This window comes from Homo sapiens, chromosome X, assembly GCF_000001405.40.
Source record: "Homo sapiens chromosome X, GRCh38.p14 Primary Assembly".
Lineage (NCBI taxonomy): Eukaryota > Metazoa > Chordata > Mammalia > Primates > Hominidae > Homo > Homo sapiens.
This window is the reverse complement of record NC_000023.11, coordinates 128,993,861-129,012,042: the sequence shown is the minus strand read 5'-3', so window position 1 is coordinate 129,012,042 and position 18,182 is coordinate 128,993,861. Positions and strand designations below refer to the sequence as shown.

Below are 18,182 nucleotides of genomic sequence, written 5' to 3'. Positions count from 1 at the left end.
ACTTGATGTGACTTTCATCTATCTATCTCCTCTGGAGGAAAAATGGGAGCTAGAAAAAAGCAGCAGAAAGGGACATGTCTAGGTAGGCTATCTCAGTTTATAGAATTTCCTGGTCAGGGATGGACTTTGAGGTGAGGAGGTGTTCTTTGCTCCTCAAACGATGGGACAGAGATGAGTGCTGACTCCATATGTTAAGCTAGGTCGGAAACCACATTTGACATGTTTTAAAGTCTTACAGTTTGGAGAAGGAGCTCAAGAAATGGTATTGGTGCTTTCTCTCATGCTTCTTAGCATCCTGCCACTCAGCAATACTCTGAAATCCTAGTGGAGACTCCCTGTGCTCTCCCAAGAAATGTCTATGCTTTCATATCTTTTATTTCCTTGTGCTTCTACTAGAGTACCCATTGCATTTCCTAGTCTTTCCCAGTTACTTTTGTCCTTCTCATTTCCCCTGTATACTAAATCTTCTTAAAGCCTGGGGACCACATCTCCTACGTAGTCTAGCATGGTGCCTCACTTTAAGTAGATGTCCTATATATCTCGGTTGGATTGAAATAATGTCAAAAGTATAAGTGCTGTTTGAAATTTCAGATTTTGTTGCAGGCTAGAGAGAGCTACTTAGTTGACATAAGGCAGGCTTTCATTACAAAAACCATAGATTCTTCTTTCTTTTTTCCTTTCCCTATTATTCCCTTCTCTGGCTCCTTGCTTCCTCCCTCCCCCATAACACACCATCTGATGTAAGGCACAGAGCAGGCTAGAAAAGATAAAGAAATCCCAAAGTGAAATCTTGGCATGGAAGCACAGTGTTTTGAATCAGCTCTATACATTAATAACAGGAACAAGTGAAGGGGCATTCTTCAGGTTGGAAGGAATGTCCTGAGATTAATAGCTCTTAGGTTCCTGATGGATCCCTCTGTCTCTTTTTGGGCCACAGAGATCACATCACAGGGAAAGGCACTAAGGGGACCTGCCTTATCGTGCTTTCCTTTCCTGGGGAGCTGGGCCTCTGAGTAATTGAGGGTCATGGTAATTGGGGGCACACACAGGGTTGCCATAGCTAGAGATTAAACCTCTGCCAACTATGTGTTAGTTTCCAATTGTTGAGGGACAATAGGTGATACAGCTGCAGTTGGATCTTGCTTTTTGTTAATGTCTGCATGTTGAAAGCCTGGCAGGGAAAACCTTAATGGGAGAATTGTGGCAAATGGAACAACCCTCAGCCGGGTCACAGCATGATCTGAACATCCACAGAGCTTATAGGAACTTAGAGAGTCTAAAATGTAGTGACAGAGGTGCAATGTGGACCTGTCTGCTGACATTGTGTGCTCTTAAATTTGACAGAAAAACATTGGCTCAGTCACTTTGAGAAAACATGATGGGATTTTCAGTTGGCATTTGCTTTTGAGGCTGGGTAGCATGGTAAGGCCCACAAGATGCCTGATGAGTTGCATGGAATTGAGAGCACCACTTTGTTTTGGTTAGGTACCACACTGGGGTCTATTTGATGGACAATAGAAAACTCACAGCAGTGTACTGTATTCCTTTTCCTAGAATATCCACCATTCCTGTTACTGATAAATTATAAAGCAAAAACCTAGATGAGATCTCTCCAAAGGCCACCACTACATTATCATCCCAATAATTAATATTAATAATGCTATTGTTATGATTGCTAATCACAATATTAATCATAGAAAAGTCAAACATTAATATAGAATTAACAGTGAAGTAGGAAGGGGGTATAGAAACAAACTTTGCTCCCAGCCCCATTCTCAGTCAGGATCCTAATTGTCAGAAAGTCTTAAAGATTTTGAGTGACCATCCACCTATGGCTTTCCTTTGTTTCTTTCTTCCTTCCCCATCTAATTGAGCTGAAATACCTGTCACGCACTCATGGCTTGGACCCCATTATAGAACCCCTGTAAACAAGAATAAAGGTGGGAAAAGAGGAAAATGTATGTTTCTCAAGCCTGGTACATAAAAATCAAGAATTCAAAATTTTTGAAGTTTGGCATGATTATCAAGGAGTGCTGTCTTGGCCTGGTTCGGAAATCAACAGATGAGATAAGACAGTAAAAAACATAGTATTGACTGGGCGTGGTGGCTCACACCTGTAATCCCGGCACTTTGGGAGGCCGAGGTGGGCAGATCACGAGGTCAGGAGATCGAGACCATCCTGGCCAACATGGCGAAACCTCGTCTCTACTAAAAATACAAAAATTAGCTGGGCATGGTGGCGCATGTCTGTAATCCCAGCTACTCGGGAGGCTGAGGCAGGAGAATCCCTTGAACCAGGGAGTCGGAGGTTGCAGTGAGCCAAGATCACACCACTGCACTCCTGCCTGGTGACAGAGCGAGACTGTCTCAAAAAAAAAAATGTATGTATATATATATAATCAAAGACTACCATGGGCCATGGGCAGAAATTGAAGGATATAGCCTCAAACTAATTTATATTGTTTCTTATGATCTTTCCACTACCACCCACTTTGGTTATATGCCTGTTGTATCTGGGAGGGGGACAGATTTAGGAGAAGGGGACTGGAGAAGTGGAGCCTATAAAAGCTTTGTGAAAGCCTTTCTCCCTGAAACAGTCTTGAGGTGTGGATGTTGATATTTATGATGAGGAATTTGTTATGTGTCCATATTACTTACATAGATTCTGGTTGGTCAGTCTCTGTTCTCTGATTCCATTTGCATTTATTGCCCCAGGATCCTAGATGCCATGGCTATAGGGGCAATGAGTCCTGGCTATGGTAAAAATAAATGTGTCTGGATCATCACCTCTTCTCTCATTAGCGTTATTTAATGATCAGATTAATTTAATCATGATCAACTTAAACCAAGATTAGAATGGGGGTGGTGGGATAAATGGAAGCTTCGGGGAATACTCACTAAGAGTTGTTAATACACTGCTTAGATCTTTTTTCTGTGCTCTACCTTGCGACATCTTGGGTTTTAAACATTTTTATTGTATATATTTCAGGTGTATAACATGATATTTTGATATACATATACAGCCCCCCACCACATAATGATGTTTTAATCAACCAAACATCAGACCACATATACAATGATGGTCCCATAAGATTATAATGCTGTATTTTCACTGTTCCTTTTCTACGTATAGATATGTTTAGACACATAAATACTTAGCATTGTGTTACAATTGTCTACAGTTTTCAGTACAGTAACATGCTGTACAGGTTTGTAGCCTTGGAGCAATAGGCTATACCATATAGCCTAAGTGTGTCTTAGGCTATACCTAGGTTTGTGTAAGTACACTCCATGATGTTTTCACAATGATGAAATCCCCATCATTAAGTGATGCATGACTGTACATAGTAAAATAATTACTACAGTCAAAAAAATTAACATATCTCTGGTCTCATATAGTTAGCTTGTGTGTGTGGGAAGGGGTAGGGGTGTGTGTGTGTGTGTGTGTGTGTGTGTACGCGTGTGGTAAAAGTACCTAAAATCCACCCTCAGGAAATTTTCACTATACAATACAATATTATTAACTATAGTCCTCATGCTGTACATTACATTCCTAGACGTTGCACCTTTTGACCTATATCTCCCCAACCTCCTTCCCCTGGTAACTAACATTCTACTCTCTGTTTCTATGTATTAAATTATTATTTTTTCCTTTTGCTTGAAAAGGCCATTGATCTTAAGGGTATAATTTCTTCACTCTAGAAGATAGAGTCCTTTGGAGTCCCTATTGAATTTTTGTCCCTGTGTGGTTATAGTTTGCTTGTTTATTAATGTTGCACATGTGATACCTTCTATTGCACTAGTCTTTTCCAGTTTATCTCATTGATAAATGAGGTTTAGGACATTTCCTGACTGCCCCGAGTAGAAGTTTAATTAGATACCTAATCAGCTGCTGTACATGTAGTCTGAAATGTGTATGTATGTGTGTGTGTGTGTGTGTATATATATATATATATACTCTCTATCATTAGTATTGTCTATATATAGATATTGCTTTTGGACCTGTCAACTTCCTGATTTATTTATAAAAGAATTTTTGTAAGGCACCAGTTATCCCCAACAGATGTTTTATTAACTAAAAATCAGCTTTAAAACAAACATGTCACAATTATTTTATTCTCTGCGGCAGAATTCCTACTGTTGATGAACTCCTAATTGGAATTTGGTTCTGGCAAGGAATGAAAAACAGAGACATACTGTGAGGACAGAGTGCCAAAAATAGCACACTGAGGAATACAAAGGACTACAGCAGTCCCACCTCGTATTTTCTTTAGGCCCCCTTTCTTTCCTTTCATATAGAGGAGACAATTTGGCCTCAGTACAATCCCATTTTGTGGACCAGAAATGGAAACACTAAGAGGCATGGTCCAAGCCATCAGTGAGGAACGATTCAGGAAATCTGATGAGTTCTGCCCTGGTTGTGCTGGAATTAATAAGGCCCCAAGCTCAACTCCCCTTCCTACTCCTTCATAAATACCCAGGATGACTGTTGCTAACGTGTCTCTAGAACTTCCCTATTGAAATCTGAACAGTCCTGGAGAGGAGTAGAATCAGCAGCAACATCAAAATGGCTAAAAACATTTGGACATTTGTTATAAGATAGGCTCTGTGCTGAATGCTAGACATACATGATCTCATTGAATACTGGCAAATCCCCTGACAAAACTTCTGATTTGCAGATGAAATCAAATGGAGGCACACAGTGATTTAATGACCATCTCAAGGTCAGGCAGCTAATAGCTGATAGAGCCAGCATTAGAAACCAGCTGTAGTTGACTCCTAACCACTATGCTACCAACCTGACACATTTTTATATGATCATTAGGATATTCGTTTTCATTAACACAGTAGGCTGGACATGGTTATCAGATTAGCAGTCACTCATCCATGTGCCTGAGTTAATGGCACATAGGACACGGGAGTTTTACTGTGGGGGCTCAGTGTGTGTGAGGGAAGCGTGTGTGCCCACATGAAAATAGAAGAATAAGTCCAGAGCAAGGTTCTACACCTCATCTATTGAAGTACAGTAGTAAAAAATCTAAGATAGCGATGTGGGATATCAGCAGGGCCATCATGAAAATCCCTGACATTAGGTGTTATTAATGATAATTTCTAATAAAGTCGTTTTACTGGCCCAATGACTGAAATCAGTGCAAACTCTTCCTTTTAAGCACACTGACTGCCTCATTATTGGCTGCACTGAAACATGTAGTTTGAAAAATCCTCCTATGCTTGACATATCTACCAGGTTTTGCTGGGGGAAACAATGCAGTCTCATGTCCCCAGGGATGCCACAGTGAAAGAACCCCAGGTGGTCGGCAAAATTATCAGCTTCTGAAAGGTAGACTTTTCTCTGAGCTGAGGGCGCCAGGCACACTTGGCTTCTAACTCACCATATGGCATGCGTTATTGGTCTGGGCTGCTCTGCTCAGTCTCTAGTGTGATGTGGCTCTTAGTGCTGTGGAATTATTTCCTTACTCAATTAAAAAAAAAATCCTGCTCTAAATTCTCGTCTGTTTCTCCCCACCTTTCCCCAACCCCACCCCCGTGCCAATCCCCTAGGCACTGAATGTATTTTCTGCTTTGCTTCTTGCTTGTCCTTTCTTTTTGCTTTTCTGTTCTAAACACTTTTTCTCCTCTGACTTAAAAGTGCAGCAGGAAAATGAAGCAAGGTTGCATACACTGAGCCTAGATTTGCACAAAGCAGCTAATTCCTGAGATCCATTCATTCCTTTTCTGAGGAAGCCTTTTGTTTTTGTTTTTTGTTTTCTCTTTTGCCATATTTTTCCAGGATTCCACTTTCATTAAAGTTTTTCAAGGCCAAAACCAAACAATCAAAAAAGAAATACACAAAAAACAAAATGAAGTTACTCTATTAGGAGACTCATTGAGTTTATTTGTGAAGCTCCTCAACCTTTGGCTTAGTTCTTCTCAGTCTCTAATCCCATCTCCTCTACGGTTGTGCTTGTATGTAGTTTTTCAAATAATCACTTTGTGTTTTTATCATATTCCTCCTCTGGTCAGGAACCTCGAAGCCTGTGGGATTTCCCAAACTCGGGAAGATTCTCAGGCCCCAAACATTTCTCCCACGCATCCACTGCAGAGCTTGACAGTCCTAAGAGTTGAATGGTATCTCTTAAAGGCCCCAGTGAGCAGTGCAAATTGTTCCTGGGATAGATCCTACATAAATTTATGAGCATCTATCCAGAGTTTGCATCAGAATTACCTGGGGAGCTTGTTACAATGCATATTCCTGGGCCATACCCTTAATCTACAGAATTAAAATATTAAAATGTGTGTGTGTGGGTGGGGCGGGGGGGGGAACAGATGTCAGGCCCAAGAATCTGCATTTTAAAAATAAGCTCTTTAAATAGTGTACACAGAAGTTAGGGAACAATTATCATAAAAATATTAAGCAAAGAAGAAGTATTGTTGAGACCTTTTTTTTTTTTTTTTTTTTTAAGAAACATCTGGTGGTGATGTGGAGGTTTTCTGACCTGAAGCAAAATATGGACTCAGATAGGAAAAGCAACTTAAAAACTGTTGTAGAGGGGGCAAAATAACAGGTCACTGGCAGGAAACTAAAAGCATGTTCTGCTTTTAGGTGTTAGGGAAGAAGTTGGAAATCTGAAATGCGTGGTTACAGTCCCTGAAACTCCAATGTCAGGCCTCTCCTCTAGCAAATTTCATCCTTTATTTTAAAATACTTTGGAGGACTGTTTATTCTCCCTTGTCCTTGTCCATCGCAAGGAAAGAGCTCACTTCTCCCATTTAGACTAGAACTCAGATATATGATGTCACATCTGTGTGAAGGATTGTGCTACTGAACCAGTGGATCCAAATAGTTGTTGTCAAAGTGTGATATTTTGATTGCCTCCACCTGAGTAAGCTAAAAAATGGTGGTTAAAATGCAGATTCCTGGGCCTCAGACCTACTGAATTAGAATGGCTTCCCCCAAATCTTAATTATAACTGGCTTTCCAGGTGACACTGAGGTATAATAAAGTTTGAAAGACAGTATTTTACAGTATGTCTTTGCTCTTACTGGGAATTACCTTCCCTCTATCTCTGACTATGGAAATCTTGCTTATCCCTAGAGTCCCAGCCTTCTCTGATCCATTTGCTCCAATCCCAACAGATGTGGCCTCTTCTTTTGCTATAGGGATAGGAAATATGGGGAGATATCATGGCTGGAGTGCAAGGGAGAGTTGGAGTACTAAGATGGAGTAGCTTGACTGGAGGTTGTGGTAGGGACCCAGAGTTTGTACTTGGAATGTTTACACTTGAACTGAGGTTGAAAAAAGGTAGGAAACCCATGAAAAAACAACAACAAAATTACCTACGCTAGTCTTAGCTGTGACTTCAACCACCATGGTAATCATGTTTAGAGATGAAGATTGGAGGTTTTGTTAGGGCTGAATTCTAGAGTGGAAAATGAGACAAAATGCCAGCCACCTGACAATTGCACTTGGGGGAAGGAAGAGGAACCAGCCTAGACTCTCCTTCTTCTCCATCTTTGCCTGTGGAAACTCTGTCCCATCTTCAACATCACAATTGCCTTCCCAGGCTTCTTGGGCCACCCCATTCTGACAATAACAACTGATCCCTCATGCTTTCCTGCCCCTTTCATTTGAGAGTATGATGATGTACTTTTCCTGGGCTTTGCCACTGAAACCTTCAGAGGCGCTGGGGTAGAAAATAGTAGTAGCAGAAGTAATCCATGTTTGTTAGGAGGCCCAGGATATAGGGAGGTCTGTCCAGGAAAAAGTGAGGTTAGGGGATGACCTGCCTCGTTGTGTTAGACAGCTTGGGATGCTAGAAAAAATACCATGGGCTGGGTAGCTTAAACAACAGAAATGTGCTTGCTTACAGTTCTAGAGGCTGGGAAGTACAAGATCAGGGTGCTGGCATCATCTGTTTATGCTGAGGGCCCTCTTCCTGGCTTGCAGATAGCCACTTTGTCCTGATATGGCCTTTCCTTTGAGTGCATATAGAGCATGGAGCATGGAGAGGGAGGGGGGAATGAAAAGAAGGAGTGAGAAAAGAGGAGTGGGAAGTGGAAGGGAGGGAGATGATAAGAGGAGAAAGGGGGAGGAGAGGGAAGGAAGAGAGGAAGAGTGGAAGAGAGAGAGGGTGGGACTGGGAAAAAGATGGGGAGAGGGAAAGGGGAAGAGGAAGACAGGGAAAGAGTGAAGGCCAGGGGATGGGGAGAGGAATGGAGAGAGAGAGGGAGAGATGGAGGGAGGGAGGAGTAGAGAAAGAGAGCATTTTCTCTTTTCCTCTTGCAAGGCCACCAATTCTATGGCATTAGGCCCCACTTTTCTGACTTTGTTTAATATTAATTACCTCCTAAATGCCTCACTCCAAATACAGTCACACTGGTGGTTAGAGTATCAGTGTATGAATTTTATGAGGACACAATTCAATCTATAGCAATTAGCCTCACCTGTAAGTGCCTATTTGAAAGGCCCCATCCCACATCTCCTCAATCAGAGTCTCAGTCAGGGTCCAGCCAGAGTCTGCAAGTACTTCAAGTAATTCTGATGGACACTGATGTTTGAAAACCACTGCTTTAAAAGATATGTTTTGTTTGTATTTAGTTTACCTTTTGACTGATCTCAATTTTTTTGAAGTTTATTTTTACCCTATCACTTGGTGAGTAGCACAGTCCCTATTTCTAATTACTCTTGGCTGAAGTAGGGCTTTCTTTCATGTGTGCTAAACTAAACCAGTGGTTCTCAAACTTTAGCATGCATAGAAATCAACTGGAATCTGTTAAAATTAACATTCTAATTCAGTAGGTCTGTGGTGATGCCTGAGAGGCTGCATTTCTTTTTTTTAATTTTTTAAAAATTTTTATTATTATTATACTTTAAGTTCTAGGGTACATGTGCACAACGTGCAGGTTTGGTACATATGTATACATGTGCCATCTTGGTGTGCTGCACCCATTAACTCCTCATTTACATTAGGTATTCCTCCTAATGCTCTCCCTCCCCCCTCCCCCCACCCCACGACAGGCCCCAGTGTGTGATGTTCCCCACCCTGTGTCCAAGTGTTCTCACTGTTCAATTCCCACCTATGAGTGAGAACATGCGGTGTCTGGTTTTCTGTCCTTGCGATAGTTTGCTCAGAATGATGGTTTCCAGCTTCATCCATGTCCCTACAAAGGACACGAACTCATCGTTTATTATGGCTGCATAGTATTCCATGGTGTATATGTGCCACATTTTCTTAATCCAGTCTATCATTGATGGACATTTGGGTTGGTTCCAAGTCTTTGCTATTGTGAATAGTACCACAATAAACATATGTGTGCATATGTTTTTATAGTAGCATGATTTATAATCCTTTGGGTATATACCCAGTAATAGGATAGCTGGGTCAAATGGTATTTCTAGTTCTAGATCCTTGAGGAATCTCCACACTGTCTTCTACAATGGTTGAACTAGTTTACAGTCCCACCAACAGTGTAAGAGTGTTCCTATTTCTCCACATCCTCTCCAGCATCTGTTGTTTCCTGACTTTTTAATGATCGCCATTCTAACTGGTGTGAGATGCTATCTCATTGTGGTTTTGATCTGCATTTCTCTGATGGCCAGTGATGATGAGCATTTTTTCATGTGTCTGTTGGCTGCATAAATGTCTTCTTTTGAGAAATGTCTGTTCATGTCCTTTGCCCACTTTTTGATGGGTTGTTTGATTTTTTTCTTGTAAATTTGTTTAAGTTCTTTGTAGATTCGGATATTAGCCCTTTGTCAGATGGGTAGATTGCAAAAATTTTCTCCCATTCTATAGGTTGCCTGTTCACTCTGATGGTGGTTTCTTTTGCTGCGCAGAAGCTCTTTAGTTTAATTAGATCCCATTTGTCAATTTTGGCTTTCGTTGCCATTGCTTTTGGTGTTTTAGTCTTGAAGTCCTTGCCATGCTTATGTCCTGGATGGTATTGCCTAGGTTTTCTTCTAGGGTTTTTATGGTTTTAGGTCTAACATTTAAGTCTTTAATCCATCTTGAATTAATTTTTCGTATAAGGTGTAAGGAAAGGATCCAGTTTCAGCTTTCTACATATGGCTAGCCAGTTTTCCCAGCACCATTTATTAAATAGGGAATCCTTGCCCCATTTCTTGTTTTTATCCGGTTTGTCAAAGATCAGATGGTTGTAGATGTGTGGTATTATTTCTGAGGGCTCTGTTCTGTTCCATTGGTCTATATCTCTGTTTTGGTACCAGTACCATGCTGTTTTGGTTACTATAGCCTTGTAGTATAGTTTGAAGTCAGGTAGTGTGATGCCTCCAGCTTTGTTCTTTTTGCTTAGGATTGTCTTGGCAATGCGGGCTCTTTTTTGGTTCCATATGAACTTTAAAGAGAGGTTACATGTCTAACAAACTCCCAGATCATGCTGATGCTGATGCTGATGCTGCTGATCCATGGACCATGCTTTAGTAGCAAGTTACTAAATGATATTTTTTCCCCTGTAACTCAGGGAGAGCAAATTTAAATGGTTTCACTGGGCAGGCAAGCAACTGACTATAAATGTGTGAAACTATCAGGGTTGGTATGAATAGGGCATGATAGAACTTACAGTCATTCAAATACACATTTTTAAAACATACTGGCTGGCTAGATAATCTACAAAGTGCTTCCATCTGACACAACTGGTTTGTAACTCTTTCGCTAATACAACTATTTTAAGATTTGCCAATAAGTATTTATTTTCCCCTCCGCCCACTTTATGGGTTTTTAGACTTCATCCACAATCTCTTTTACTCTTCCTCTCTCCACTCTTAATTGGCACTGCTTGATGTTTCTTTGTAAGCATTTTTAAGGGTTATTATTATTATTTTAAAATGTGTGTTCTATGTAAGCAACCAGGTCCTCACTCTTCAAGGACAGAAATTGGGTCTTGTTTCTTTTGTTGCCCCTCAATAATGTTTATTTCTGTGTTCAGCTCACAGTGGGTACTTGTTCACTGATGACTAATTGACTCACTGACAGGACCAGGACAGTACTTCAGAAGAGAACTGAGTTCACTAGCATAGCTGAGATTTGCAGATAAGGACCACATCCCATGTGATCAGCATACAGTTCTTCTAGTTTGAAGAAGGCAAGCCAGGAGATTTGTTTTGCTTTGTTTTGCTTTAAAGCAACATTGTATTTTTCCAATATTTAAACACAGGTCAGGCTTGCTCAACTGCTATTGTTTTGAATTTTGCAGGATGCGTTGTGTTTGCAGCTTCTGGACTTACTTGATCTGCTATTTTTGATGTTCCTCATTAAATAGATTGTTGATATGTAAATATAGAAGTTGCTATGCAAAATTGCCCTGATTTTTCTTGCGAACTTTCTTCCTGCATCTTGTGGAAAGGCAGCATTTTACTTCTTCATATTCAAGAATATTTTAAGCACTTGTAGCTAAATTGTGCTAAACCAATTGTCAAAACCTGGGAGTGTTCCATAAAATACAATTGATATATATAAAGTCAACCATTTGTATGGTCTTCCTTTTATTCATATGTATGCAAATACATCTGTATGTGGCATAGATATATGCACACATTGTGTCATGGCTAAAGATTCATCTAGAGTTAATAACCATACATAGGGAAAAACTATTAGCAAATTAATTAAGAACCTGTCTGTCGTGCTATTGTAAAATGAAGTCATTTGTTAGCTTAAAGAGGAACTCTTTCCCTCACTGAAAACTGATTCTGTAGAATATTTGCTGACCTTTGTTAGAGAAGAGGCTTCTGTTCAAATAAACAAAAGGCTGTAGATGACTAGTTGACCAGAGAAGTGTAAATGTGAACTGAATTGCGTACCTTTTGATTATAATTACCTACTTACTCATTTGTTCAACAAACATTGACTGATTAGAAAGCTTTCTATGTGCCAGACACAGCACGGGCACAGTGCAAACAAGGGGCTATAGTACTGAACCAGATACTCATGGTCCTTGCCTTCTTAAACTTAAATCATCAGGTGTTCATGTATATTTTTATATTATAGTAATTAGAACACTTTTACATGTTTTCTTTACATAATCAAAGAATTATAAAGTTGGAAGATGCCTTGAAATGCCATTGAACTTATTCCTTCATCCTTCAGGTAGTTGGAAGAAGTTGTGTGTTGCAGCAGATACTGTTGTGGCCACACCCATATCTCCTGGGCCCTCACCATTTCTGTGTACACCCATCTGACAGCTTTTAACTGCAAGCACCTGCAACTCATTAGCTGTGTGCTTTCTCTGGTCTCTGGAGCCTGTAGGATCTATGCTGGAGTTAATATACCCCCTCCCCCAAGTGAAGCGGCCTTCACCTAAGTACTGGGGGGAATTGAGAGATAAATACTCCCAGCTCCTGGTCCTTCTATTGGGATAGCTCTGAGGTGTTTTATACTCTCTCGCAGACTTCTCTAGTGGGATAGAATACCAGTTACTCAGTGGTGACCTGTTCAGTATTGCACCCTGTATAGGCTTCCTTTTCTAACCTGCCACATTTCCCTGTTTTTCTACCAGTGCTTTCTGGGATCATCTCCCACATACACCACTTGCACTCACATTCTTGTGTCAGCGTCAGCTTCTGGGAGGAATCCAACCTAAGTCATGAATCAATCTTGGCTGCCAAGAATACATGATGGAATTGTATATTCAAGGGCAAGACAAGGGCAAATTTATTTTGAAAATTGTATATAATGTAAAATACATGGTTTTCATTCCCGGACAAAATATTAGATCATTTATTTTTCTCAAGCCTTTTGATACAAATGATTAGGTAATGAAGTGTATTTGATGAAATCATTATATTTGAGAAAAAGTAAAATTCTTTTCCAATTTGTATAATAGAACCCCATTTTTGGCCAGGTAATTTCACAGTTTTGTCTATTGGAGTTTTAAGAAAAGCAGCTGGTACCCTTTAATATTGTGAAAGCTTGTTTTAGGATCTGGCCACATCTTTTAATTGCTTCCCGCCTCTTCTCCTCCCATAGCACGGTTCTTCCAAGGATAGTGATAGAGTGTTGGGCTGGGTGGTTACAACATACCCCGAAGCTAACTTTCCCTTCTGTTTGTTTCATTTTTCTGTTTTCATTTTGTTGCTGTTTTCTTTCATCCTCAGCATGTGTCTGTTTTCCTTTGTCTTGAATGGAATCTTACCCTTAGTTTTATAGAGACGCTCTCCAACATTTCCCTTTGCAGCCTCATAAACCCAGTGCATATATATCTCTCTTCCCTTTATTGGTGGTGAGGAAGTCATTTGATTTTTATCCGACTTGGAGTATTTCAATCTATGAATAATGTAATATGAGAAGCGAAAACAGACAAGCAACAAAACTGTTCGGCTTATGGAGGACTTACAACATGCACTTTTTATGTTTGTACTTTTTATGTATGTGTGCCAGAATTTATTTATCTTTCTCATTTTAACTTTATTCTTCCATTCAGTCACCTGCAGCTTTTAAGATTCTTTCATTTGCGAGCTTGAGGGTGGCCATGTCCAAGGAGTGAAGCTTGCCTTGGATGGAAGTACAGAAGCGACTCCGTGATTAGAAAGGGGGGACTTGCCTTCAGTTACCAAGACTTTTTGTTGCTAGAACTCCATGTCTCCTGCCTCAGTTGCTTGTCCAGATACTTGAACTCATGCCTTTTCCTACAAAGGACTCGGTTCAGGATGTTTGCCTAGATGTTGGATTTTACATCTCTGTCTTGTTTTTATTTTCTATATCCAAACATGGGAGTGCAGGTATCCCTTTGATATATTGATTTCTTTTCTGTTGGATAAATTTCCAGTAGTGAGATCACTGGATCATATAGTAGTTATATTTTTAGTGTTTTAAGAAATCTCCATACTGTTTTCCATAGTGGCTATCCTTATTTACATTCCCACGAAGACCTAACTCACTGCCTGTTATGAATTATTGCACATAGTAGGTATTGAATAGATATATCTTAAATATTAGATACATTGCCTGCTTCTCACTTCCATGATCCTTTTATGGCTTCTACGACCCAAGCCCTTGATTTCTGACTTCTAACTTTGTACTGAACTCACACTCCTGGTTAATTTCACAGGGCTAGTAAGCTCCTCTGCCTGGGTCTTTCCCTTCACCTGTAGCTTTGCCTCAGTTTCTTGGAGTTCTAGTTTCTTATTTTGTATAACAACTTGCTGACTTTCTGCAATGCTGACAGTCCAGTGCAGATAGTGTAACTAGAATGTTCACAGTAAGGGAGGAAGTTAACAAATCTGAGATCCACAATCCTGTTTACACTTTTATTTTGAAGGACAATTATGTCTTTGCTTAAGTAAGACCCTACGTATTGAGTGCAGATGTCAGAGCAAGAAAGTGTCGACTAAGACTGGGTCCCTGCTGTGAAGTGCAAGATGCGTAAAATTCTAGCATATGTGCAGAAATTTAAACCCATCATTTACTGACAGGCTATAATTACTTGAATGAAGTCAGGAGACTATTTTAAGCATGCAATTATGGTTAACAATAAAATTGTAAACAGGACCCTAATTAATGAATTTTCAAACTGTACTTCCCACCTCTGTGGATGCTATGAGCTATAAAAAGAATGAGAAGAATAATTAATATTTATCGAGTACTTATACGTGCTGAGCACTGTGTCAGGCACTTTACATATACTGTCTCATTTAATCCTTATAACAGCACTTTGAGGAAAATACTATTGTTATTCCCATTTTTGCAGAGGAAGAAACTGTGATTCACAGATCAAAAACATTGCCCAAAGCCACATAGGTTAGCAAATGGCAGATCTGTGACTCAAAGATAGGTTAGGCTGACCCTAGAACCCAAGCTCTTTACCATGATACTACATTGACCTAGACTATGTAGTATATATGTAAAACCCACTTTTCAAGTGTGTCAGTCAGAATGTGCTAATAGAAAAGATGTAATACATTTAGATTAGAATAATTTGAAGAGGATCTATTCATAAAGAAACTATTTACAGAGGTGTGGGCATAAGGGATACTAGGTATAGCATAGTAATAGCACAAGCAGCTATTACTATTTCTAAGCTGAAGGGACAAGAAGAGGGAGCAGTTACTGGCACCAAGAAGGAGAGAGTCATGTAAGGGAGGCTGACTTGAGAAGGGCAGTGTCTTTTGGATTAGGGGCACAGCCAGGCCAGAACAACCTTAGGATTAAATACTCTGACTTTATTTTCTCCCTCCCTCTGATCCCTTACTGGGCTCACAATTGGCCAAGTCCATTCAGAAGCCATAGAGAAAGAAGCCAATTGATAAGATCCATATAGGTGAGCTTCTCAGGCAGGAGCAAAGCAAAGGGTGGAGAGTGAAAATGGGCAAATGGAGGATATCCATCATACCATGCATTAATAAATATTCTCATTTACCAATGTGCTCTGTATAAGTTCAAGTAGCTTTTCACAATTTTTAGCTGAGTGGAAAATAAGAACCCTTCATGAAGTGTGACTTCTCTTCCTTTCTAAATGGTTATAGCAAAGTTATCATTTAATGTCTCATGAGCACCTGATAATGCAGTCAGTATTTTCTTTATTCTGTTGAATTTAAGTCAGAGTTAACTTGACATTTATATTACTGTAAGTCTTCTCAGGATGATGGTTAAGTTATTTATAAATGTTTCTAAAGTTGTTCTATAAGTTTTTATCTCCCACTCCTCAAGACTTACCCGTTTCTGTAAAAATACCCAAAACTGGAAAACTGGGGTCATCTTTGTCATATGCATCTTGTCATCTGTATTAGTCCATTTTCATACTGCTATAAAGAACTGCCTTAAACTGGGTAATTTATAAAGGTAAGAGGTTTAGTTGACTCACAGTTCAGCATGGCTGGGGATGCCTCAGGAAACTTCCAGTCATGGTAGAAGGGGAAGCAAGACATCTTCACAAGACTGCAGGAAGGAGAAGTGCTGAGTGAAGGGGAAAGAGCCTCTTATAAAACCATCAGATCTTGTGAGAACTCACTATCATGCGAACAGCATGGAGGAAACTGCCCCCAAGATTCAATTATCTCCACCTGGTCTCTCCCCTGGCATGTGGGGATTATGGAGATTACAATTCAAGATGAGATTTGGGTGGGGACACAAAGCCTAACCGTATCATCATCTAAAATCAAATCAGTCACTGATTATAGTTAATTCTTTCTGTAGTTTCTGTTACAGCCCTAATTTCTTTGTCTCCTACTGTAACAACCCAAATATGAACCGTTATCACTTCACACCTAGGTTTTAGTGGTTTCTTCATAGCCACATTAATCTTCATAGATGGTAATTTTGATCATGAAACTCCACTCTCAAAAATTTCATTGGAGCCCCAATATATACAAGAACAGGGCCACATTCCTTAGCATGACATTTAAACTCCTCCACAAATCAGTTGTCACCTTTCTTTTGAAACTTATCTTTCGATAGTTTTACCAGGCAACTCTAGTCCAGTGAAATCACTCAACTTCTTATGCCCTGAATTTGCAATATACATTTCCCTTTCAATGTGTTGGCTCAAGTTGTTCCTTTTTGAAATGGTCTCTTTCTTTCTTCTTTGATTATCTAAATTCCATCCTTCATTTGGGGCTCAGCTCAGCTCCTGTTTCCTTCAAGACTGCCTGTACTCAGTCCTCTGTGAGATCTTCTGCATGCCAGTAGCACTTACTATCCATTAATAGATACAGTAGTACCAGTACCTGTTTCCTAGGGTTGTAATAATAGTATATTTCCCATGGGTTTGTTGTGAGGCTTATATAAGTTAATATAAGTAAATTTTTTAGATTAATTCCTGGTATATAGTAAGATCTCAATAAATTTTAGCTATCAAAATTGTTTATCATTATGATTTCAACTCATTTGGCACTGAGCATTGTACTTTGTATTGTTATTTTGATTTGCATGTATATAGAATATTTCCTAATTAGATTACCATCTCCTTGAGGGAAGGGTGTGTTTTTTAAATTAATTGCTGTATTCTCAACAACTAGCATACAGCATGGCAGATGGTGGGTCTGAATAAATACTTATTGTGTGATAGAGAATAGTGACGATGATGATGCCTGCTCCCTTATTTTCTGCTTTTGGAAAATGGCTGCAATATATGTCAATTTATAAAATCATTGATTGCATTATGAAGCTGATAAGTACCTTAGAGATAGTTTAGTTCCACACCATCATTTTCTAGATGGTACAACCGAGGCTCAAGGGGGAGGAAAGAACTTGCCCAAAGCCACAGAGTTGCCAGTTAATGACAGAGTCATTGTTAGAACTCAGAGTTGTTTAGTGAACTGAACAAATATTTATTGAGCACCCACTATGTTTCAAGTACTGTGCTAGGTGTTGGGTATACATCTATGACCAGGACAAAATCCCTGCCTTCATGACACTATTTTTATTGATACATAATATACATATTGATGGGGTACATGTAACACTTTGTTACATGCATAGAATGTGTAATGATTAAGTCAGGGTATTTGGAGTATCTATCACCTCGAGTATTGATCATTTCTGTGTGTTAGGAATATTTCAAGTCCTCTCTTCCAGCTATTTTGAAATATACAATATATTGTTGTTAATTATAGTCACCCTACTCTGCTATTGAACATTAGAACTTATTTCTTCTATCTAGATGTATGTTTGTACCCATTATTAACCAAACCCTCCTCATCCCCCTTCCACACCCTTCCAAACCTCTGGTATCTATCATTTTACTCTACTTCCATGAGATCAACTTTTTAAGCTCCCCTAAATGAGAACATACAAAGTTTGTCTTTTGCTCCTAGCTTATTTCACTTAACGTAATGATTTCCAGTTCCATCCCCGTTGCTGCAAATGATGTGATTTCATTCTTTTTGTGGCTGCATAGTATTCCATGGTATATGTGCCATATTTTCTTTATCCACTTAGATTGATATGGATCTTTACTATTGTGAATACTGCAATAAACATGGGAGTGCAGGTATCCCTTTGATATATTGATTTCTCTTCTGTTGGATAAATTCCCAGTAGTGAGATCACTGGACCATATAGTAGTTATATTTTTAGTGTTTTAAGAAATCTCCATACTGTTTTCCATAGTGGCTATCCTTATTTACATTCCCACCAAGACCATATAAGAGCTCCCTTATCAATGGGCTTCAAGATGGTTCCTTAGGCCAGGCATGGTGGCTCATGCCTGTAATTCCAGCACTTTGGGAG

At 39.6% G+C, this 18,182-nt stretch overlaps 1 long non-coding RNA gene across 7 annotated transcripts in view; it reads left to right on the top strand.

The window, feature by feature from the left end:
• The window catches only part of LOC124905213 (uncharacterized), a 275,363-nt gene that overhangs the window by 174,390 nt on the left and 82,791 nt on the right, over nucleotides 1–18,182 (top strand). The gene's annotated exons all lie outside the window — the stretch shown is intronic.